This window comes from Homo sapiens, chromosome 10 (genome assembly GCF_000001405.40).
Source record: "Homo sapiens chromosome 10, GRCh38.p14 Primary Assembly".
Taxonomy (NCBI): Eukaryota; Metazoa; Chordata; class Mammalia; order Primates; family Hominidae; genus Homo; species Homo sapiens.
In genome coordinates, this window is record NC_000010.11 from 119,378,759 (window position 1) to 119,402,941 (window position 24,183).

General features: G+C 51.8%; 1 protein-coding gene across 1 annotated transcript in view, besides 3 other annotated features; it reads left to right on the top strand.

Moving 5' to 3' along the window:
• GRK5 (G protein-coupled receptor kinase 5) overlaps positions 1-24,183 on the top strand; it is a 252,175-nt gene that overhangs the window by 171,188 nt on the left and 56,804 nt on the right. Inside the window, exons 3-4 of the mRNA NM_005308.3 lie at positions 2,057-2,169; positions 17,937-18,014. Coding sequence (NP_005299.1) covers positions 2,057-2,169; positions 17,937-18,014 — 191 coding nt within the window. The remainder of the gene's footprint in view (positions 1-2,056; positions 2,170-17,936; positions 18,015-24,183) is intronic.
• Positions 12,717-13,217: an enhancer, noted in NCBI's record as "H3K4me1 hESC enhancer chr10:121150987-121151487 (GRCh37/hg19 assembly coordinates)". NCBI's record gives its function as "activates a minimal SCP1, AML or CMV promoter by ChIP-STARR-seq in naive H9 embryonic stem cells {active_cell/tissue: H9 hESC(naive)}" and the evidence as "EXISTENCE:reporter gene assay evidence [ECO:0000049][PMID:30033119]".
• Positions 22,638-23,837: an enhancer, noted in NCBI's record as "P300/CBP strongly-dependent group 1 enhancer chr10:121160908-121162107 (GRCh37/hg19 assembly coordinates)". NCBI's record gives its function as "activates an origin of replication core promoter dependent on BRD2, BRD4, P300/CBP, MED14 and CDK7 cofactors, with strong dependence on P300/CBP, by STARR-seq in HCT116 cells {active_cell/tissue: HCT116}" and the evidence as "EXISTENCE:reporter gene assay evidence [ECO:0000049][PMID:35650434]".
• Positions 23,063-23,306: a silencer, noted in NCBI's record as "fragment chr10:121161333-121161576 (GRCh37/hg19 assembly coordinates)". NCBI's record gives its function as "represses an EF-1alpha promoter that drives an FKBP-Casp9 reporter gene in an ReSE screen in K562 erythroleukemia cells {active_cell/tissue: K562}" and the evidence as "EXISTENCE:reporter gene assay evidence [ECO:0000049][PMID:32094911]".

Sequence of the window (24,183 nt, forward strand, 5' to 3'; positions counted from 1 at the left end):
CCCAGGGAACAGACAGTGTCTTTCCTGGAAGTTCTGGCAAAAGCCCTGGGAGGACTCCGGGGCCCCCACGGATCACAGGCCCTGACCTGATTGGCTAGAACTGAGGCATGGCCACCCTTGAACCTGTCATTATGGCCAGAGAGAGAGGCCTCTGATTGGCTGTGACTAAGTGACGTGTCCATCCGTGACCGTAGCACTGTGGCCAGGAGACAGAGGCCTTTTGATTGGCTGTGACTGAGTCACGTGCCTGTCTCCGTAGCATGGGAGGCGTCAGCTCCCCTTTTAGATTCAGAGGCTTGGGTTGAATTGGTGCAGACTGGGAGAAAGGAGGTTCCCTAAAGGAAAGGGAGATGGAACAGACCAAATTATCACATCCATAACGATGAGAAATGGGGTTTATTAATGTGCCAGCATCTGGTCTGAGTGGTTTCTATGTATTGTCTTATTCATTCTTCGGGACGGTCCTAGGAGTTAGGTCTGCTTACCGTCCGCAGTTTACAGACTAGACAACTGAGGGGCAGTGTCAAGCCTGTTGCCCCAGGTTACACAGGCAGTGAGCGATGGGCTGGGATTCAAACCAAGGCAGTTTAGCTCCAGAGCCCACACTGACACTCACAGCTACCACGAGATCCTCCCTCCCGGCAAGCCATAGCTTTACATCCTGTGGATAAGCATTTTGAGACTAAGAATCAAAGTGTGCCAGCGCAGTGGTTGTGTTCATATCCCCTTGTTGCCTGGCGTATCTCAAGAGAAATCCTTTCTAGGGGGGATGGTGTCTTAGCTCCTCTACACCAGGTAGACTATAGTCATCCCTTCCCTGCAAGTTGCTGTCCTTCCCAGGCTCTATCGCCCTCTTCCCTGTTTCCCACGAACTCATCCGACTGTGTCCCGTGCAGCTGCAACATCGATGGCCTAGTGTTCCGTGCTCCAGAGAGCCTGAGACAGCATGTTTCAGTGGTTCCTTCGAGTATCTTCCTGGCCAGAGAGAACTTCTTGGAGAGGCTTTAGCATCACTGCAGGAAGAACCAAAAGGGAAAGGGCCCCCATCCCAACTCCAGCATGCCCTTCTTGTTTTCAGAGGAGAACACAGAGGCCCAGAGAGGGCAAGTGAATTGCTTGAAGTAACACAGCAAATTGTTGGCTAACACCATGGTCTCTGGGCCTCTTGGTGGGAGTCTTGCAGTATTTCCTCTTCAGAACCCTCTTGGCTATTGAGTGGGTAAGCGCGGGTGACTTCCTGTCTCTGTGCCTTTAGTGCCTAACTGGAAAAGTCAGGGTTTTCATAATTTGAAGCATCCTAAGACTGGGCTTTTCTCCAGTTGGGCAAAAATGATTTTTAAAAACTGTATCCATTAGGATGCTTTGAATTAGAAGTAATTTCTAAAAGTGTTCAAACTGCCCTAAACAAGGAGAATGTGTTGTCTCATAAATCAGCTTTTCAGATATGGTTTGAGCTACAGGCATGGTTTGATCCAGAGATTCATGACATCACCAGGGCACCAACTCTACTTCTTCTAATTTCCCAGCTCTCACCTCCTTGATGTGTCAGGCTCATCCTCATCGCGGCTTTTCTTGCAGTGTCAAGAACACTGCTGCAGCACCTGGCTTCACACCCACTCACCATGACCTCCAGAGGAAGAGAGCACCTCTGCTCCAGTGTTCCCAGGGAGTCTGCAGTCCACTCTGATTCGACTGGCTTACATTACAGGCCTGCCACCCTTATCCAGTCACTGTAATCAGAGAATGTGATGTGCTTAATGGCCACCAAGGAGATGGAATCACAGTCCCCAGAACTGCTGGCATGTCCATACAGAAATCAGAGCATTGGACTGGGGGTGTGGGGTGGGGAGTAGAGGCTGGGTCATCACTGGTGCCTTCTTCTACACTGACGTCTCTCTGAGTCTGTGAAGACCATGAAATGAAGAAGGCGTTCTGAGAGTTTGCCAGTCACCTTCCTCCATCCATCTAGGGCTCTGAGCCCAGGTGTGGGAATGACAGGAAGGCCCTGCCTGGCCTTCTCCTGGGTCTCATCACATTCTTCTTTTCTTGTCTCCAGACAGAGATTACTGCAGTTTATGTGACAAGCAGCCAATCGGGAGGCTGCTTTTCCGGCAGTTTTGTGAAACCAGGCCTGGGCTGGAGTGTTACATTCAGTTCCTGGACTCCGTGGTAAGTTCCTGCTCCTGAGGGATGGTCCTGTGGTCCTCTGTGATCAGTGATTGTTTTGGCTCAAAGGAAAAAATAGATCTCATGGGTTAGAAGACTGAGGAATAAACTCACTGCTTACAAAACTCCCACTACAGACTTTGATTAGGAATGCAAAATTGTCTGAGGATCTAAACACATGGGTGACCTTGGGTGACCTTGGGTGGGCCCCCTCCCCTCTGGACCTTAGTTGCTATTGCTATAAAGTGGAGCCCTATCAGCTCTTTGATTCTGGAAGCCTGGGTTATTATGGGAGGCAGTGCCTGGGGAAGTTAGGCCTAGCTCTTGGATCTCAAGGCCCCTTCCTCCAGCTGAGAACCCATTTTATAGAATTCCAAAGCTTTTGTCTGTTTGTACAATTGTTTATTGTCTGCTTCCCCATTAGAATGCAAGCTCCCTGAGGGCAGGACCCTGGGCTTCCTGTTCATACCTGCCTCACACAGTGCCCAGAATCTATGGGCACTCAATACATGTCAAATGAAGCACATGGCTGTCAAGCCGGTCTGACACCAATGGCTCCACTGGGCTCTGGCATGGATGACATGCCTGACACCATGGAGTCTTCCTTCACATGTGCTTGTTATTCTTTGTTTAACAAATGCTGATTGATTGCATGGGCTTTTAAGACAGGTTGTGGGAATAGTCAGGAGTTCCTCTGCACCTGCCCGGGGAGCCTGGGCACCTCGGTTCAGCCAACTGCCCTTGGGTTTCTATCCGAGGAAGGAGGACAAGAGGGAAGGAAGAGGAGTGGAGAGCGGTCATGAAGGGTGTGAAGTCATCCAGGCCCCTCCCCTCCCCGCCAGGTGCAGGGGCCGAGAGGCTGCTGTTTCCTGAAGGGCCCTCATGCCACCATTGGCTGCAGCCATCCCGACCTCTATCTCAGTTTGGGGGACAACCCTTTAGGGTTTCAAGTCTCTGTATCTGCTTCAAGATCTCGATGTGCATCTCTAGACCCACAAACCAAATTGCCCACTGGACATCTCCACTGAAGTCACAAAGGCCCCCTTAAAGTCAGTAAGTCCCAAATGCACTCAGGACTTTCTCCCAGGACCCCAAAGCTACCAGCCCTGAGACATTACCTGTTCCAGTGACCAGCACCCTATAGTCACCCGAGCCTGAAATCTTTGCACTCTTTGATGCCTTCCCCTCCTCGTCCTTCCCCAACCTGATCAGGCTCATGTGCTTGGCTCCTTGACCCTGCCCAGGCCAGCTCCCTCCCCTCTGCAGGCTCTGCCTTGGGCTTAGGGGAGGCTCTGCCTTGGGCTTAGGGGAGGCTCTGCCTTGGGCTTCGGGCAGGCTCTTGGCGCCTCTTGTGTGAGTGATTACAGTAGTTTTCAATCTTAGCTGGGCGTTAGAAACACCTGGGGAGCCTTAAAAACACACCAGAGCCTGAGCTGAAGCCCAGACCAATTAATTTGAATCTCTGGAGGTGGGGCCTAGTATTTTAATAACTTTTTATTATGGAAAATTTCAAGCTATAAAAAGTAAAAGTCGACAGAATAGTGTAATGAACCCCCAGGCACCCTTCACCCCACCTTTATGAACCCACAATTATGAACTCATGGCCAATCTTCTTTCATCCATTCCTCCATCCTTTACTCTGTAACACTTTGTAGCAATTTTCACATATTATCTCATCTGTGAACTTTTCATTATGTATCTCTGAATAAGAGCTCTTTAAAAAATAGTACTATCACAGCTTAAAAAATTCTTTCCTATCATCAAATGTTAGTATTCAGATTTCCAGTGTTCTCATACATTTTATGTGTATTTGTTTGAACTGGTCTGGCTAAGGTCCACACGTTGTGATCTGTTGATGTTTTCTTGACTCTAGGCTCCCCCATAACCATCCATCCCCCTTTGTAATACATTTGTTGTTCCTACAGAAGAGCTTCCCACAGTCTGAATTTTGTATTCTTATCCCTAAATGTCATTTAACAGGCTCCTCTATATTTCTTTCTTTTTTTTTTGTTTTTGAGATGGAGTCTCGCTCTGTTGCCCAGGCTGGAGTACAGTGGTGCGATCTCAGCAGACTGCAAGCTCCGCCTCCCAGGTTCACACCATTCTCCTGCCTCAGCCTCCCGAGTAGCTGGGCCTACAGGCGCCCGCCACTACACCCGGCTAATTTTTTGTATTTTTAGTAGAGATGGGGTCTCACCGTGTTAGCCAGGATGGTCTCGATCTCCTGACCTCGTGATCCACCCACCTCGGCCTCCCAAAGTGCTGGAACCACAGGCGTGAGCCACCGCGCCTGGCCTGGCTCCTTTATATTTCTTATACGTTGCTAGTTGGATCTAGAAACTTGACCAAATTCGGTTTCCGTTTTTGCAGGGTGGAGTGGGATTCGACTTCCTCAGTGGTTTCATGTTCTTCCATCAGGGGACATACACCATCTGGTTGTCTTTCTTTTTGAAATGGTAGCAGCTATTGCTAGTCTGTACCTGAATCTGTTAATTAACAAGGGCTTGCAACATGGCAACATTCTAATTCTGCCATTCCTTCTTCATTTGCCAACAGAGGCACTTCCTTTTGATGACCATGTGGTGACCCAGTGGTAAAGTTCATAGAGGAAATGGTTGATTCTTTTCTCGCATTAATGTTTCTAAAATACCAAACTGGTTCACTACCATCCTCCAGTAGCAGTAACTATTTTTAACTTGTGGTTTTAAACATGTTGCGTGTGTATTGTTGCACTGTAGTCATTATCCTGACTGATGCTCATCGTCTCATCAGTGGCTAGTGGGGGCCTCTCCAGGTTGGCTTCTGAGTCCCTGGCTGGGCTCCAGCAGTTATCAGTAGTCTCCTTGCTGTCTGATATGACGCAGGGTTCTGGGCTCATCTTGTACTAGATCCATTGTTTCTCAGAGGAGCTGTGATTCCTTTTACTGGGACATAGCAGTTGCAGGCCACAGTTTGGCACAAGGGTTATTACCACTAGGCCATCGATTCTAGCACCTATTGGCATTTTTCAAAGCTCCCAGGGGTTTAATGTGTATCCAGGGTTGGGAAGTAATGACATCTAGGATAAAGTCCAGGTTCCGAGGCTGACTTACCAGATCTTCCAGCATCAGCTCCTGCCCACCTTTTCACCGTTGGCCTTCCCGGAGTCTTTCTTCAGCTCTGTGTTCTGGCCCGACCACCCACTTCTGGCGTTTCTGACTTGCCAGGACAGTTCAAGCCTCTTGGCCCTAGCTCCCTCAGGCCTCCCTGCCTGAAATCCTCCCCACAGTCCCATTTGCCTGGCAAATGCCTACTTGTCCTTCTGTCCCCTGTTCTCAGAGGCCCTCCCGATCTCCCTCTTCCTCTCTCTCCTGCTGTGCCCCTCTGCTGTGGGTGCTTGCTTCTCACATGCACCTGAGCCACACTGCTGCCCCGTGCTGGCAGAGGTGCATGATGCAGAGTGCAGCCTCCAGAGATAGGATGCCAAGACAAAATGGCTCTGCCACCATCTGTTGGTGAGACCATGGGCAGGTGTTTAACCCCTCGTGTACTTCGTGTCTTCATCTGTAAGTGGGGATATAGCTGTATCTGATGATGGGCGAGGTGTTAGGTAGAGACTACATGAGTTCTTACCGCTCACAACCATGTCTGGAATAGCACTGAGGCTCAGTGAACCTAGCCATTGAGGGGTCTGTGTGCCTGTTCCTCCACTAGCCAGAGCCTCTTTGTGGCACAGACGTGGCCCATGGTCTGTGAATCCTCAGCCCACAGTGCCACACGTAACAGTTGAGTGATGCTCAGATTGGGCCCAGTGGAGGTTGGTGGCTTGCCTAGAGTCAAAGAGCATGTGAGGGGCAGAGGTAGGCCCAGAACCCAGGTCTCCTGGCTCCCAGTCCAGGCTCCTTCCTCTGCATCATGCTGCCTCTGAGACCATGAGCATCATAAGCCAATGACATGGAATGTTCGAAGGTGAGAACTGGGATGGAAAAACAACTGGAGCAGGTTAAAGGAGGTTGGGAGTTTGGATATGGGGAGGCTGGTTGTATCATGAAGTAGGATGGTCAGCATTGGAGTCTTTGAAAAGGCGACATTTGACTGAGGACCAGGAAGTCGTTGGAGGAGTTAGCCAAGTGAATATGTGGTGAAAGGGTGTTACAGGCAGGGAACAGCCAGCACAAAGGCCTGAAGGCACGAGTGTCCGCAGTTGGAGGGGAGGGAGGAGGGGCAGAGGGGGTAGGAGAGGAGGTGATCATGTAAAACTTTGTGCCATCAGAGAACTTTGACTTTGGGTGAAATGGGGGAGCCACTGGAGGGTTTTTAGCAGAGCAGTGGCATGGTCTGACTTGGGGTTTTATTTTATTTTATTTTATTTTATTTATGAGACAGGGTCTCACTCTGTCATCCAGGCTGGAGTGCAGGGGTGGGTTCGTAGCTCATTGCAGTCTCAACCTCCTGGACTCAAGTGATCTTCCTACCTTGGCCTCCTAAGTAGCTGCAAATACGGGTGTGCACCACCATGCCCATCTGTGACTTAGGTTTTTCAAGAATCCCTCTGGCTTCCATGTTGGGAGCAGGCTTTGAGGGGCTGAGGTGGGAGCAGGGAGATCTGCTAGGAGGCTGTTGCAGCAGTCCAGGTGAGAGCAGCTGGTGGCTCAAGCCATCTTAGTAGCCCCTGGCGGTGGTGAGAAGTGGTTGGATTTGAGACTTGTGTGGAAGGTGTATTCTCTGATGGATTGGGGATGAGAGAAGAGTTAAGGAAGACTTCAAAGTTTTGACCTGAACAAATGGAAAGATGGAGTAAGGATGAGGCTGCAGGAGGGTCACCTTGTGGGGAAAATCAAGAGCTCCGTTTTAGGCACACGCGCCTTGGGATGTCCACCAGATCCTTGAGTGGCGAAGCTCCAGGGGAGATGGGTGTTCAAGCCAGGCTTCATGAGAAAGATCTGGGCTGGAAATGGAAAATTGGGAGTTGTCAACTTTTTTTTTTTTTAATTTTTATTTTTGAGAGTCTTACTCGGTCACCCAGGCTAGAGTGCAGTGGTGTGATCTCAGGTCACTGCAACCTCTGCCTCCCGAGCTCAGGTGATCCTCCTGCCTCAGCCTCCCAAGTAGCTGGGACTACAGGTACACACCACCACGCCCAGCTAATTTTTGTATTCTTTGTAGAGACAGAGTTTTGCCATGTTGCCATGGCTGGTCTCAAATTCCTGGGCTCAAGTGATCTGCCTGCTTTGGCCTCCCAAAGTGGTGGGATTACAGGCATGAGCCTCCATGCCCAGCCTTGGAGTTGTCAACACATATATAGCTGGTGTTTAGAGAGCCCTGGGCTGGAGGAGCTCACCAAGGAAACAAATCCACGTGGATGGAGAAGCGTGAGGACAAAAGATGCCCCGGACCAAGGGCTGCTCCCCATTTGGAAAAGAGGAGGCAGCAGCAGCTTTGGGAGCCATCTAGAGAGTTGATGAGGCAGAGCAGAGTGAGGCTAAGCCTAGGAGTCGGTGGAATTTTCCAGCCACGTGTTTTGTTAGACACTTACAGTCAGTTTGAAAAGGGGGGAAAAAAATCCAATGGATGCCCATTTTCATTCTGGTCGTGCCATCGTTCCCTCTCTCTGGGCCTGTACCAAGAGCTGTTTTTTGGAAAGGAAATGTGAGTCTGGCTCCTGTGTCAGCACGTCAAATGCTCTTCACATCTACCCTAATGAAGCTGCCACTCACGAGGGGCCGACCCGCTCCCTTCTGCGTTTTCATCTGCATCCCTGGGAATTAGCGAGACTTTTTCATCGCCCATCTTGACGTCAAATGACCAGCCTCTGGAACACCTCTTTTACGCACGGAGACTTTATTGAGTTTTCCAGGGCTGGCGTAACTTCTCGTCTAAAATCCGTTTTTTCTTCCATCCTGACTGGAACCCAGAGGAGGGAGGAGGTGGCGGGGTCCTTGGTGTTGCAGTAGCGCCCCGGGTGCTGCCTGACTCGGCCAGCGCCATCCACGCCATTCCCATCTCTCTGTTGAATTTCTACCAAGTGGAGCTTTTAAAAATAACCTGTCCTCGTTGGACTCTGATGTAGTCCCTGGGAAAGGCTCCTCTCCTGCACAGTATTTTTTTTTTTTTAATTTGAGACAGAGTCTCACTGTGTTGCCCAGGCTGGAGTGCAGTGGTGCGATCTCAGCTCACTACAGCCTCCGCCTCTTGGGTTCAAGTGATCCTCCTGCCTCAGCCTTCTGAGTAGCAGGGATTACAGGTGCGCACCACCACACCCAGCTAATTTTGTATTTTTAATAGAGATGGGGTTTCGCCATGTTGGCTGGTCTGGTCCTGAATTCCTGACCTCAAGTGATCCGCCTGCCTCAGCCTCTCAAAGTGCTGGGATTACAGACGTGAGCCACCGTGCCCGGCCTTCTGTGCAGTCTTAATGTCCACATTTCTCAAGTCAAGTGGAAGGCTGCAGCTGTTTTTTAATGACGGCCCAGGTGATTTTCTGGGCAGCAGAACTGTTTGCGCGTCATTTACTAGACTGCAGGGGGAGTTTGGCCTTTGGTGTTGGTTATCAAGGGTCTTCCAGGAACCTGAGAAAGACTTTTCTCCTGCCACTGCCACCTGTCCTCTCAGCAAGAAATGGAGTCAGTGACCTAAGCCATGACTAGGTCTGGTCTCTAAAGGGCAAAGAGTTTGCCCAGCTGGTCAGGGGATTGAAGAGGGTCTAGGCTAGTGTCAGCCCCCACAGGGCAAAGAGTCTGTGGCATCTTGGAGACTGATGGACTTCTCTCTAACCTGTTCCCTGGGAGCCTTGACCACATGCTGGCTCATTTGAAACCATCTTATCTCCACACTTGGGTGAGACTTAATGGGTTCAGGTCTCTTCTCTTTGGGATTGAGGGATGTTTGGCAGATATGGAACCAGATTCACCCAGGGCACATTTATGGGGTGGCTCCTGTGTGCCAGGCTCTGTTCTAGCAGTTGGGAGAACACAATGAACAGGAGAACTAAGTTCCTGCCCTTGTGCAGCTTGCTTTCTGGTTAAATGAAAGATTAAAAAAATAAAGAAGATTTTTTTTTTCTAGGAGGTGGAATCTCACTCTATTGCCCAGGCTGGAGTGCGGTGGTATGATTATAGCTTACCGTAGCCTCAAACTCTTAGGCCCAAAGCGAATCCTCCCACCTCAGCCTCCTGAATAGCTGGGACTACAGGCGCAGGCCACCATGCCTGGCTAATTAAATTTTTTTTTTTTTAGAGATGGGGTCTCTCTGTATTGCCTAGGCTGGTCTTGAACTTCTGGCCTCAAGTGATGCTTCCACCTTGGCTTCCCAAAGTGGAATCATGCTGGATTACAGGCATGAGGCACTGTACCTGGCCAAGGAAAATTTTGCAGTGAATTAAGCAACACCAGCTACAAGTTAAAATATTTGTTCAGTATTAGCTTTGGGTTTTTTGTTGTTGTTCTTTTTTGAGACAGAGTCTCACTCTTTTGCCCAGGCTGCAGTACAGTGGTGTGACCTCAGCTCACTGTAACCTCCACCTCCTGGGTTCAAGTGATTCTCGTGCCTCAGCCATCCTAGTAGCTGGGATTACAGGTGTGCGCCACTATGCCCAGCTAATTTTTGTATTTTTGGTAGAGATAGTGTTTCACCAGGTTGGCCAGGCTGGTCTTGAGCTCCTGACCTCAAGTGATCTGCCTGTCTTGGCTTCCCAAAGTGCTGGGATTACAGGCATGAGCCACTGAGGCCCACACAGTATTAGTTCACCTCAAAATATAGTGGCTTGAAACAACAGTCAACCTTTATTAGGTGATGGTTTTGTGGGTCAGGAATTTGGGCATGGCTTTGCGATGTGCTGTTGGCTCAAGGTCTCTCATGAGGTGAGATATTAAGAAGTTGGCTGGGCTGCAGTCATCTGAAGGCTTGACCGTAGCTGGAGGATCTGCATCCACAGTTATTCACATGCCTGGCAGGTTGGTGCTGGCTGTTGGCAGGAGGGAGCCTCTCCATGGGATTGCTTGAGTGTCCTCACAACATGGCTGGCTTTCTCCAGAGCAAGCAATCCAAGAGAACATGGTAGGAGCTGCAGTGCCCTCTATGACCTAGCCTTAGAGCATCTACACCATTTCCCTAATATCATACTGGTGGCACTGGTTAGCCCTGTTTCATATGGAAAGAGACTTTCCTAGAGCATGAGTAATGAGGCAAGGATTATTGAAGGCCACCTTGGAGGCAGGCGACTACAAATATGAGGTTACAACAAATGAAATCTCATATAGGAAATGCTAAGAGGCATTCCTATCTGCTAAGTAGCCTAGACTCTAGGTGATGAAATAAAATTAGTGGGCTATCACCTGGCTTTAGATGTGCCTGACCATTTGAAATTTTATTGTGAAATGATCCACTCTGCCTCACTGGGGGCTAAGTATTCTGCTTCTCTTGTTTATGAGAATCCAGTATTTGTCTTTGTCTTTCTCTCACTGGTGTGATCCCCCAAAATGGGAAGAGTGGAGGGTGCTTATAGTTTTTCAGGTGCACATAGAGACAGTCAGAACATCTAGGAAGCCAGACCCCGGGAGCAGGGCTGTCTTGAAAAAGTGCCACTTCTAAAATGGGTTTATATAGTGCACATCTGTGGGATCATCCAGTCTCCTGGGTGCCCCACCCGCATTCCCAAATAACATGGCTGTCCTAGAAGCTGCCATGTTCTTAATGATGTCACCCCCAAGCTGCAGTTGACTGGAGCAGGAGGGGGTCTGTGAGCCAAGGCAGGCCAACGAGTCCTTTCCCTGGAATTGATGGCCTCAAGGGGAAGTTCTTCCCTGCTAGAGAAAGCTTAACATAAAAACCCTGGGAACTGTGGACTGCCATGTTTCCTACACTGGAACAAGCCAGTCAGCACCCAGAGATCATGAGCAACACACACACACACACACACACACACACACACACACCCAACACACAGATCATGGGGGCTACAGAAGTGCTTGTGTCCCTGGTCTCTGGGCTCTTGGCCCAGCTGCTTTTCTGATTTCCCCACAATTTGTTTGTTCAGCTCATCCTCAGATTCCAGGAGCCAGGAGCTTACAGTTTTGTTGAACTAGGTTAGGCTGGGATTGTTTTCACTTAGAACAAAAAGAGTAATGGGGAAAGTTAAAGACCTTTCCTGGTAGCCTTTAGATCCTTGGTTGGATGCAGAGACAGAGAAACAATTCTGAGAGGGAAGGAGGAAAAGCAGCTGGTGGGGGTGAGGATGGGTGGAGCTCTTAGGAGAAAAGTGATGGGGCAGACAGGAAGCAGGATGGCACAGCCCGTCTGTATTAGTCCGTTTTCAGGCCGCTTTTAAAGACATACCCAAGACTGGGCAGTTTACAAAAGAAAGAGGTTTAACGGACTCACAGTTCCATGTGGCTAGGGATGCCTCACAGTCATGATGGAAGGTGAAAGGCACGTCTCACATGGCGGGAGACAAGAGAAGAGAGCGTGTGCAGCAGAACTGCCCTTTATAAAACCATCAGATCGGGCCAGGTGCAGTGGCTCAGCCTGTAATCCTGTAATCCCAGCACTTTGGGAGGCCAAGATGGGCAGATCATTTGAGGTTAGGAGTTCGGGACCAGCCTGGCCAATATGGTGAAACCCCATCTCTACTAAAAATACAAAAATTAGCTGGGCATGGTGGCGTGCGCCTGTAGTCCCAGCTACTTGGGAGGCTGAGACAGGAGAATCACTTGAACCCAGGAGGCAGAGGTTGCAGTGAGCCGAGATTGCACCACTGCATTCCAGCCTGGGCAACAGAGTGAGACTCCATCTCAAAATCTCAAAAAACAAACAAAATATCAGATCTCGTGAGACTTATTCACTATCCCGAGAACAGTACCAGAAAGACCCACCCTCATGATTCAATTACCTCCCACCACCGGGTCCTTCCCACAACACAAGAAAATTGTGAGAGATACAATTCATGATGAGATTTGGGTGGGGACACAGCTAAACCATGTCACCCTCTGCCACTGGGGTGCTTATCACTTCCCCTGAGATGGGCGAGCCTGTCCCCTCCCTCTGAGAGAGGCGAGCCTGTCCCCTCCACCACGTGGAGAGATGCAGCCCCCCTTCCCTCCTGCCTTCTCTTCAGTGTTTGACTCTGGCCAGGCCACAATTCACAAGCTGGTGGCTGTGGTACCTCAGGAAATCTGGAGTTGCTCCTACCACTTTCATTCTCCACCCAATGTGGACAGGAGTCCATTCTTCCCTCCCTTCTCAGGTTCCATCCCATCTATTGCCCTAAGTTGGGCCAGTGAATCCCTCTTGACTGAGGCCTGAGAGGGCCGCTCAGATGGGAGCCGGAGCCAGAGACTAGAGAACACTTTGCCCAGGCGGGCACAAGCTCTGGGGTTGACCAGGTACGTCTGACCCTGGGGCCCCTGGGGGACACCCCCATCATGCACTGCTCGCCATTCTCACTGGGGAGCAGAAAGGAAGCAAGGCCAGTGCCCACCCATCTGAAGCACCGTGCAGGGCATCAGCCAGGTCCTGGCAGAAAACAGATGGCCGGCCCCATGTGTGAATGGAGGAGTTTAATGAGGGCCTATTTACAAAGCGTGGGAGGGAAATCAGTAGCTGCTGATGCAACACCCCTGAGCCTCCACCACCCCGCAACCTGCAGGGCCAAGGGAAGGGACTGACGCGGGATCGTGGGAGAAGACTGCCCACAGGAGTCGGGTCTGGAGAAGAGGGTCCGGGAGCCTGCGGTGCCCAGGCGGGGACGGAGCCAGCAGAAAACCACCCCACCACTCCACCCCCACAGCAGGGTGGGAGAGGGCTAGAGGGGCTCTGGAGGGGCGGCCCACGTGGTCAGCACACACGAGAAGCTGGGGCCGTGGGGGTGGATGCAGGTGTTTCTCCAGCGGGGTGCATGGTGAGCATTGTGCTGACCAGGCGTGTCACTTGTCCCTGCCTCAAGGACTCTGGAAAAGCTGACCACATCAATAATTACAGAAGCTGGAGGTGGCAAGACCTCATGGCATCTCTGACTTCATCTTCCTGTTAGGGCAGAAGAAGGTCTCCTGGGAGAAGGAGGTGACATCTAAAGTTAGTCTAAGGCCAGGAGGAATTCAGCCCAGACTGCCCTTTCTAAACCTAGGGCCGGCTTCTTTGAAAACGTGGCAGGTTCTTAAAAGCATCTGAAGGAAATGTGTCTTCATAGCCAGGACATATTTTTCCTGGCAGATTCTGAGATTGATGATGCAATTAGGGCAGGCCAAGAGAATGAAGTATTAGGGCTATAAACTAAGATGCACATAGATGTTTCCACTCTTTGGAAGGCACAGATGTAGAAATAATTCTTTGTTCCTTAAGCTCAATGTAATAGTCTGCATTTTGTGTTAGAGCAGCATCTCCCCGCAAAGGCCACCCCTGTGTTTGGCATAAATCACAATGCAGGGAGAAGGCTCATTCAGTGGTGTCTTCCCTGTTGGCACCTGGCACGTATCTGGATTATGGATTGTCATGGGTGCTCCCTGGCACCGTGGCTGTTAGACCTGAGTTCTGGGCAGGGAGAGCTCCAGGCTGGAGTGCAATGGCACAATCTCAGCTTACTGCAACCTCTGCCTCCCGAGTTCAATCGATTCTCCTGCCTCAGCCTCCCAAGTAGCTGGGATTACAGGCACCTGCCACCATGCTTGGCTAATTTTTTGTATTTTTAGTGGAGACGGGGTTTCACTATGTTGGGCAGGCTGGTCTCGAACTCCTGACGTCAGGTGATCCGCCCGCCTCGGCCTCCCAAAGTGCTGGGATTACAGGTGTGAACCACCGCCCCTGGCTAAGAGAGCTTTAAATGAACAGAACAGCAGAGGTGCCTGTGTTTCGGGGAGGGGACAAGGCCCATCTCTCTCTCTCTGGTTGGAAGGGACTCTCTTGCAGATGGAGGTCACGAGGGCACTCTTTGCATACAGTTTACCTTTCTTTTCATTGAAATCATTGGCTGCTATTTCCCAAGCTACATCTAATTGTAAAATTCTGGGTTGTTGGCACACTCTTACTTGCTGCTTACGTTTGCTGGTTAAGCTGGTTTAAGCTTTCTCCCACCAGCTGGGCAAGGGTGTTCTCAGGGCAGTGGTTTCCAGGGTGGCCCCAGCCGTGTGGAGTGTGATCTGCCTTGAGCTCGGCCCATCCAGGGGAGCCACCATGGTACCTTTCCTCTGTAGGTGGCCTCTCAGGACTCCCCTCAGGGGGCCACTGTGGAGACATGGCCTGTCACTAGGTGTCTTAATCAGTGCGAAAAGCCCAGCTGGAGGCCTTCCATCCGTTTTCCACCTCCCAACACAAATGCTCTTCAAGTGGTGGCCTGGCACGGACTCTTTGAGAAAGGCCTTTTGATCCCGGCAGGGGAGGCCTGTCCCCGCGTGCTCCCTCTGCCGCCCTGTGGACCTGCGTGCCCATCCACCGGCGGGGCCTCTGCCGGGAGGCAGGTGACCTGAAAGGGATGTTATTTTTTTAACGTGGGTTTTAGTACCCACAGCAAGAGTATTTTTAGCTGGTTATTGAGGCTGATTAGTGAGCCCCAGGCCTCCATTTGGTTAAATAGAGCCACCTTCACAGATGTATTTTCGTACAGTGCAAATCTAGTGTTCTGGATGGTATAGAGTTACCCCAAATGATGGCCGGCCATTTGCCCAGGGCCTGCGTCCTGCAGAGCAGTCTAGCTACATTCCCACGGTGCCGGACCAACGGCGGGCTGTCCAGGGGCAGCAGGACCCTGGGTGCTTCTCATTCTGGAAAACAGCAGGCAGCTGGCTCTAGAGTGCTCAGCCCCTTTGGAGACGCCACTGCTGCCCCGTCGCTTGCTAGCTGTGCTGTATTGGAACCTCTTAGACCCTTAGTTTCTTCATCTGCAAATCGGGACTAATAATACCTACCATGTAGATATAATAATAATACCCTGCCATGTAGGGTGAGCCTGGAATCAGCACTCCATATGGGGTGTGTGTCTGTGTGTGGGTGTCTGTATGTGTGTGTGTAGGGGTGCGGGTGTGTTTGTGTGGATGGGTATCTGTGGGTGTGTGGTGTTTGTGTGTGGGTGTCTGTGTGTAGGTGTGTGTGGGTATGTGTGTGTGTGTCTGGGTCTGGGGGGGTGCGGGTGTGTTTGTGTGGATGGGTATCTGTGGGTGTGTGGTTGTGTGTGTGTGTCTGTGGGTGTGTGTGGGTATCTGTGTGTGTCTGCGTCTGTGTGGGGGGTGTGTGTGTGTGTGTGGGTATCTGTGGGTATGTGTGTCTGTGTGTGGGTTTGAGTGTGTGTGTGGGTGTCTGTGTATGGGGGTGTGTATCTGTGTGTGGGTACGTGTGGGTGTGGGTGTGTGGGTGTCTGTGTGTGGATGTATCTGTGTGTGTGTGGGCGTGTGTGTGGGTGTGTATCTGTGTGTCTGTGTGGGCACGTGGGTGTGTGTATCTGTGTGTCTGTGTGTGGGCATGTGGGTGTGTGGGTGTGTGTGGGTGTCGGTGTGTGTATCTGTGTCTGTGTGTGGGCATGTGTGTGGGGGTGTGTGGGTACGTGTATGGGTGTGTGTATCTGCTTAGTGGGCACGTGTGTGGATGTGTGTGGGTGTGTGTATCTGCGTGTCTGTGGGCACGTGTGTGTGGGTGTGTGTGGGTGTGTATCTGTGTGTGGGGGCACGTGTATGTTTGGGTGTGTGTGTGTCTGTGTGTGGGTGTGTGTCTGTGTGTGGGCACGTGTATGTTTGGGTGTGTGGGTGTGTGTGTGGGTGTGTGTGTGGGTGTGTGTATCTGTGTCTGTGGGCACGTGTGTGTGGGTGTGTGTGGGTGTGTATCTGTGTGTGTGGGGGCACGTGTATGTTTGGGTGTGTGTGTGTCTGTGTGTGGGTGTGTATCTGTGTGTGTGTGGGCACGTGTATGTTTGGGTGTGTGGGTGTGTGTGTGGGTGTGTGTATCTGTGTCTGTGGGCACGTGTGTGTGCACACATGTGCACTCAGGTTTAGGAGAGCGACAGGGGGCACAGAGGAAGAAAATAACAGGAAAAAGTCAAGAAGAAAGAGCCACCTTAAAGCATCTCAGGAATTCATCTCTCGAGTCAAATCATCAAGAAGTGCCCAGTCCCTCAAGGCTCATCTTGATGTGGAAGAGGAGTTGACCTCTGGGGAGAGGCTCTGCCCACGCGGCGCAGTGGGAATCCAGAGGCCAGCGCGCCAGTCCAGCAGCTGTGACCTTGGACCTTGGGCAAGTCCCTGACTTCTCTGAGCCTCTGTGTCCAGCCCTATAAAATGAGGGGTGGGATTCCTTACAGAACCACTGCCCTATCTCCCTGTGATCTAAATGATTGTAGTGTTCATGTTTCTTCATGGGAGAAAATCATTGGATCTTGGCTCTCCATTAGAAGAGAGAGGGCAAGACAAGGACACTCGCTCACTGTGGTTGGAAACGAGCCTGGCTGCCTCTGTGGTCACTGCGAGTGCCGCCTGCGTGCTCCCTTTGGCTGGCCTGGGAGGAATCGGACCCTAGACACTGAGGTGTGAAGTTTCCCTGAGGGCCGGCTGGGCATCTGACTGCATGGTGGGACGCCTGGGGAGGAGTTCGGGTCCGTCTATGCTGGTGTCATTTCCTTCCTCTTTTGAAATAGCTGTACTTTTGGACAGAGGCTGACAAATCCTTGGGTGGTGGATTTTGAAATGGTTATAAACAATTTGCAATTAGCTCTTTTGTCTAAATGAGAAAGGGCCGCTTACTCAGGCTTTTTATTGACTCGAGGCCCTTTATCCATGTGGCGAGTGCGTCAGATGTGAGCGAAGGAGCCCCTCTGGGATTCAGGGAAATTAAAAAGTCTGTTTTTTGGAGACCTCCCATCTTTAGAGCTTGGGCCCCCTGGCTTGGCTAGTTATCAGAGTCCTAAATTCTGTGGTGTGGTTGAGGAGAAGCCCTGCGCTTGGAGGTTCGAGTCCCAGCCCTGCCACCTCCCGCTGCATGACCCTATGCAAGTCCCTTCCCACCGCCGGCCCTCGGGATCTCCACCTACAGACGAGGGGTTGGGATGGCAGCCCCTGTTCTCCTGCGTCACTGCCCTGGCTCTTTCGAGGTTCAGATAAGAACATCTTAAAAAACCTGTGTATGTTCACTTTGTAAACTGAAAAGCTGGAAAAGACCAGGCATCCACATTATTGTTTATCCTTGCAAGGTGTAATAATCACAATGGCGGTAACTATAGCAACTGTTTATTATTATTTATGATGGGCCAGGCCCCAGGCCAAGAGCTTGATCACTTCCGTCTGTATAATCAGTGTATACCTAGGTGCTGGTACCATCTGCGTTTTATAGAAGGGTTAAGCAAATTGTCTACGATCACACAGCTTACAAGGTCTGAGTGACCTAAGGCAGCTTCTCGGCAGCCTTCCAGTCTGGTGGGCTGTTATTTTTCTGGTAGTTTCCTTTGATTCATCTAAGTCAGTGGTCTTCAACCCCGGCTGCCCAGGTGCCAGCCCTCATGGCCCACTGGAAAGCCTGGTTTCATGGGTCTAGGGTGGGGCCTAGCATCAGTGTTTGCTCAGGGCTCCCTGCTGATTCTGATGTGCAGTCTGCATGGAGCACCGCCATCCTGAGACCCAGCATCTGTGAGAGAGGGCAAAGTAGTTTGGACTAAACATCGGGGCTCCGTGGCCAGGTCTTCCCCCCCGGTTTCCTGACCTGCAGGAGAAGGGGGTTGGTCAGGTGGCCTCTAGGGGATTTCCTCCAGGGGCTGTGAGGTTCTGTAACTATAAGAAGCTCATGAGCAAACCTGTTATTGTTCTTTTTTCTCCTTCTGTTTTAGGCAGAATATGAAGTTACTCCAGATGAAAAACTGGGAGAGAAAGGGAAGGAAATTATGACCAAGTACCTCACCCCAAAGGTAAGGAGTCTTCCAAACCCCACAGCAGGTGGCACAGGAGGCCTTATGCAAAAATAGGAGCCCCTAAGTCTGTGCCAGGCCACATGGGGAGCTGTTAAGTGCTGGGCTGGTGGCTGTTGTTGACCTCCTGAGATCACAGTTCCCATCCTCCCCCAGAGAGTGCCCAAGCCTGGCAGGGCCAAGATGGGGATGGTCTAGGCCAGGACTGGAGTAGGGGCGGGATGCCTGCTTCTTGGGGCCCAGCCCCTTCAAGGGTCACCATGCTGCTGTGTGCCCACACCCAACCATTTGTGGTAGGGCAGATGGAGGCCTGGCCAAGTTCAGGAGAAGTGCCCAGAAGGAAGGGCTTAGCAGGGCAGTTCTGAGAGGTCAGCGTGGAGGGGAAGTGTTGGGGGTTGACTGGGAGGGAAAGGGGGTGCCCAACGACATCAAAGAATGAAGAGAATTCTGAAACATATTCTGGAGTATTCTGAAGGGTCAGGGGCCACCCCGACCCCACCTCGGGGCCACCCACTGGATAGTTGAAGCATCGGGGTACCATTGTCCTCAGGGTCCAGCAGCCTCGGTTCTCCAAGATCTGCTTCCTCTTGACTCACCTTCACAGAAGTGTGTTCTCAACCCATTTAGTGTTCTAGTGTCAGTGGTTCTGCCCACTTGGTCAAGCCACATTCCCTCCCTGGGCCTCTGTTTCCCTTTCTTAAAAGTGGCCTTCCTGTCAGACTCACCTCCCGGAGGTGTTGAGAGCCTGAGATGGGACCTGTGTGGGAATAGCTTTGCGTGTGTCCCATCCCCCGGGGCCAGTGGTGGCTTCACCCTGCTCAGGACCCTGTGGGCCAACCAGCTCCCCGGAAGAGTATACCTCCTGGTGCCCATCCCAGGCTGCCAGTGGACTGAGGTCACCACAGCCTGTGGAAGGTCTTGGCCATCAGTCCCCTCAACCTCCTGCACCTCTTGCACCAAATGTAGCCCTCGTTCTTCTCCAGCATCAGCAGTTGGTAGTGGCCATTGCCCTTGCAGGGTGAGACCAGCCTCACGCCCAGAAGTGTTGCCCTTTGTCACGCCCCACTCTGGACAGCCTGCTAGACGGCATTCCTAATGCGCACACAGTCGCCATCACCTTGTTGCCTCCCCTTGCTGTTTCTCTGCTGCATCCATCATAATCCATGCACTTCTCTTTCTGTGAACTGCAAACACCCCCAGCCCTTTTGCACTTTTCAGAAATGACAGAATTTATGTTTATAAAACACTTCTAGGCATAGAATAGGGCTAGTTTGCTCTGGACAAGGTGTGGCCCTGGGTAGGCACAGCTGCCCCCACCTTGGGGGCCTTGCTATGCTCCAGATATGGGCCTGTTGCTGTCTGTGAGGTTCTCAGGTGGACACAGACGAGGAGACGTTCTCAGCAGGGTCCCTGTTCACCCAGTCGCAGCCGATGTCATATTGGTGGGGCTCTGGCTAGATACATTTTTGATCTCCTGGCCACCACTCAAGATAGTGTGGACACTCTGGGCATAAACACATGCCCTGAGCTTAAAGGGGTGCATGCACCCTAGAGGGCATAATGATGACAGCTCCCTGGCTGGGCTCCTATGGTGTGCCACATGCCTCCGAGATGTCTCTGATGATTCGCGTATCCACGAGATTGCCCTATTTACAGACAGGCCACTGAGGCCACAGAGCTGAATAGCGTGAGAGGCCACTCTGCTGAAGGGGTCTTCAGCTACCCTCTGCAGAGGCATCTTCCCACGGTGGCTCAGCTTGGCCCAGTCCAGCGCTTCATCTGTGCCCCCATAGGGCTACCCAGTCACATGTGTCCCCCCCAAACAATGGCAACTAGAATGTATTGAGGACTCCTTGTGTCAGGCACCACTGTCTATAGTCCTTGCTGTCACTGTGGGATGCAGATTATATTTGTTCCATCTTACCGATAAGGAAGGAGAGGCTCAGGGGAGCTGTCACATCCCAAGTCACACAACTAGTGAGTGGCGGAGCTAGAATTTGAACCCAAGTCTGGGTGATTCTAGAGCCCTGAGTGTTTCCCCTGGGTGTAGTCTCCTCACCCGGCTTCACTGTCCTGCCACTGTCTGTGGCCTGGCTCTGATCTGCAGTGAGGGCGGAGTGCTCCCTTTGCCTGACCTTGCTGTCTGGATAGGCTCTTGTGGCTTAGCCAAGAACAGGGTACAGGCAGGCACTGGGGCAGCCACTGAGGGCTGCCACCGGGTTGCCCCGTGGCCAACCTTGTCCAGAAGCCCCTGCTGGCAGCCCCTGACCTGAGCTCTCCAGACCTCCCTAGCTCTGCTCAGCCTTGCCTCCATCTCCTGGAGGGATGGGGCCCAGACACCCCCATCAGCTCAGACGGTTTTACAAGTGCCTCAGAGCCTGCCAGCATTTTTTCCCTTAAGTTCTCCTCAATTTAAAAAATTTAAGCCACACCATATGTTACGGCCAGGGAGGCCTCCAGGGGAGGTGGTTGATCCATGCCTTGGGTCAGCTGTTTCCCTACAATAAACTTTGCACTGCTTTCCCAGTTCTTCCCATAACAGCTTGCTCTGGAGCCTCATTTACCTCTCACGTGCCCCAGTGCCCCAGATGCAGCGAAGCAAGGTGCTGGCTGAGGAGCTGAGCGAGTGACTGAGGCCCCAGCACTGGCTCAGAAGACTTTGACCAACTGCAAAGCCACTGTCCCCAAGCCCAGATTGTCCTTGCCTTGGGACCCCTCCTCAGTATGTAGCTTGTGTGTCTCAGCTCTGAGCAGTGCTTCCCAAAAGGTAGACCATAGGAGAGTGGCCAGTGGAGAAGCTCTGTGAAAAAGAACCCTCAGTGGTCAATTACACGTGGGCAGCACTGTAATACCATGTCTCCCCCGGTAGATTCACTCAGCATGTGAGCATATTCAAGGCTCTGAGAAGTCCTGCAAGAAAGAAACCTCTTTAACTGTTACCAAAGCATTTCTCAAAGTTATTGACCATAATTTTTTTTCAATTTTCCATTCTGCTGAGCACACTTTGGGCTACAGAACACATCCAAGAGCCTCACGCCCACACCTCCTTCTGCTCCAGCATCCTTTCCTGGGACCTCTCCTGTGGCTTCACACTGGACTGTGGCCACACCATTTCCTAGGCTCACCTGGATGTCCATACCTTGTGGCCTTTGTTCAGGCTGTGCCCCAGAAGGCCCTTTATGAAGGCGCTGTCCCCTACTCTGTCTTTCTCGCTTCTGTATCCCTGCATGTATTGAGGACACTTGTGTCAGGCACCACTGTCTGCAGTCATCTCCAACATCCCCAGCTGCACAGAGCCTCTTCTGCCTCTTGTCAGAGTCCGTTGGCCTCACCTGGGTGGTCTCTGAGCACACTGTTCCATTGTTGTGATTCTGTGCCCCATGATGGGGATTCTGAGGAGCCCACCTTCAGAGTAGGGCCAACACATAAGCAGATTAACCAAATGCCCCACGATGGGAGCAGTGGTGGAGCTGTGCTCAGGGAAGTGTGGGGTCAGGTGAGCTAGAGGACGCTTCCAGGAGGTGATGCTGCTGAATCAGATCTTAAAGGATGTGGAGGAGGAAGCTGGACACAAAAGAAGGGGAAGGAGGAGCGGCCTTCATGGGTGCAGTGCAGTGGGCATTTGGGGCTATCTGGAGATACTTGTAATTGGCAGAATTGTGGGGGAGGGAAGTGCTCCTAGCATCTGATGCGTAGAGGCCATGGATGCCGTTGAACATTCTAGAGTGCACATGGCAGCTTCCTACCCAGAGTTACCTGGGGGCAAAATGTCAATAGGGCTGAGGTTGAGAAACCTTGGCACAGAGGTAGGAAAGCGCACAGGATGGGCAGTGCTGTGGGGGTGGGAATGGGGAGGGGGCCCCTCTGAGCTGTAGGCCCTGGGAAGCCATGTTGAGGTGGCAGCAGTGTGGAGTTGCCAGTGCTTCGAGTGCCACTTGTATTTTAGGACGATCTCCCTGACCACATGGAGGAGGAATAAGGGGGATGAGGAAGGACTGGAGGCAAGAGGCCATCTGGGGAACAGCCCCAGGTCCCCAAGCTGGGCCAGCAGCCTTGGGGATGGGGAGGAACAAAGGGCCTTGCGAAACGGCAGAAGGAGGATGCCCTTGGGCTTTTGTCTTGAGTCTCTGGGTGTATGGGGGTGTCCCCAGGAAAGACAGAGCACAGGATGAGGGCCGTGGGAAGGTCCACCTGCTCTCGGCAGAGGCAGGGGAATTCATTTTGGATGGAGACAGTGGCATCTGCTCTCTGTGTCCCCGCCCCAGCATGACGCTGGACACATGGTTCTCGATCAATGTGAGTTGGTTGGAATGAAACACTGAGGGGAGCTCTGGAAGCTGCCCTCCATGGGCCCGTCAGCTCTCCTGTCTCATGTCTCTGGGGAGCCACGCTTGGCGAGCTCACATCCTGAGGTGTCTGCCATCTTAAAATTGCTGGAAGCCAGGATAGAAAGCCCCTGCCTAAGCAATGCCTATGCCTTGAGCTCCGTTCTCCCTCACCACGGAGGACGCCCTACAAACCCGTGCCTGAAGTTTTTATCTCAAGAGGCAAACCCCACTCCGTAGACCCTGCCTCGAATCCTGCATCAGTCGCCCATACAAGGCCAGCTTTGCTTTGGGGGTGTTACAGGGCAACAGCCAAGGGTGGGCTTGGAAGGGGTTGAAAGCTGTTGGAGAGCTCACAGAAGGGCAGCAGAGTGCTGAGAAGGACGTGAGCTTTAGAGTCAGGTAGACCTGGGTTCAAAGCCAGATGTCACCTCTTTGGGCTGCATGGGTTTGGGAAAGTTGCTTAACCTCTCAGTGCCTCAGTTTCCTCATCTGTCAAGGGTGTGGGCCATGATGAGGATCATAAATAAAAGCAGCAAGTACTGAGCATGGTAGCTGGGGCATCTTAAGTGCCCAGCAGCAGTGCTTGTCATCTGCCTTTCCCCACCTTCTCCGTGCCTTCAAAGTCAGGCTGTTGAATGAGGAAATCGTTCAGATGTCGAACTGCCAGCTGTGGAGTGCGAGAGGCCAAGGAAGGGTCGGGAGGGCCTCCAGCTGCAGAGGGCTGGACAGAGGCAGTGAGCCAGTCAGGATGATTTATACTAGCTGCCACAACAAACAAACCCCCAAATCTCAGGGGCTCCTCCCAGCAAAGGTTCATTTCTTTCTCACGCATCATCTGGTTAGGTCATCAGCTCTTCTGGGTCCTCCCTGGGTGACTCAGGGATCCTGGCTGCTCCTGTGGCCCCACCATCTGGAGTGTGTTGTCCCATGGTCAGTGCCACAGAGGAAGAGAGGGATGAAGGAGGCACAGAAGCTTTTAAGTGCTTGACCCAGAAGCAACACTCATCACTTCCTCTCGCAGTCCATGGCCAGTGGGGAGGCTGGGAAAGGCAGAGGAGCATCTGGAATATTAGGTGAGCACACCAGTAAGGCTCCCTGCGTACATTCCCATCCCTCGAGCCCCAGGTTAAAAACATCACGTGGCAGGCTCATCTCTGGTGCTGATTAGACAGCCGTGAGCGTGGCTTGTCTTAGGGATTGTCTCGGGTTTGTCAGCTCACAGAAGCTGGCCAGCGGGCCACAGTTGGATCTGAGTGTGTGCTGGGCTCTGAAGAGAGCTGAGCAGCTCACCTTCTACCCTCCAGTTCTACAGCCCAGAAGTGATACAGGTGACAGGTATTCAGGAGAGGGGAGGGTCACTCCGAGCTGAGGTGGCCCAGGAAATGTTCCCATTGTAATAATAATAATAAGTGAAAACAGAATTATATTTCATCCAGCATTACAGATGACTTTTTGAAATACCAATTTTATGGCCGGGTGCAGTGTCTCACACCTGTAATCCCAGCACTTTGGGAGGCTGAGGCAGGCGGATCACCTGAGGTCAGGGGTTCGAGACCAGCCTGGCCAACATGGCGAAACCCTGTCTCCACTAAAAATACAAAAAATCAGCTGGGCATGGTGGCCCACACCTGTAATCCCAGCTACTCCAGAGGCTGAGGTACAAGAATCGCTTGAACCAGGGACGGGGAGGTTGCAGTGAGCCAAGGTCGTGCCACTGCACTCCAGCCTGGGTGACAGAGCAAGACTCCATTTCAAAACAAAAAACAAAACAAAACAAAAATACCAATTTTTTTGAGATCTATTGGTATAATTCTCATACCATAGAACTAATTCTTTTAAAG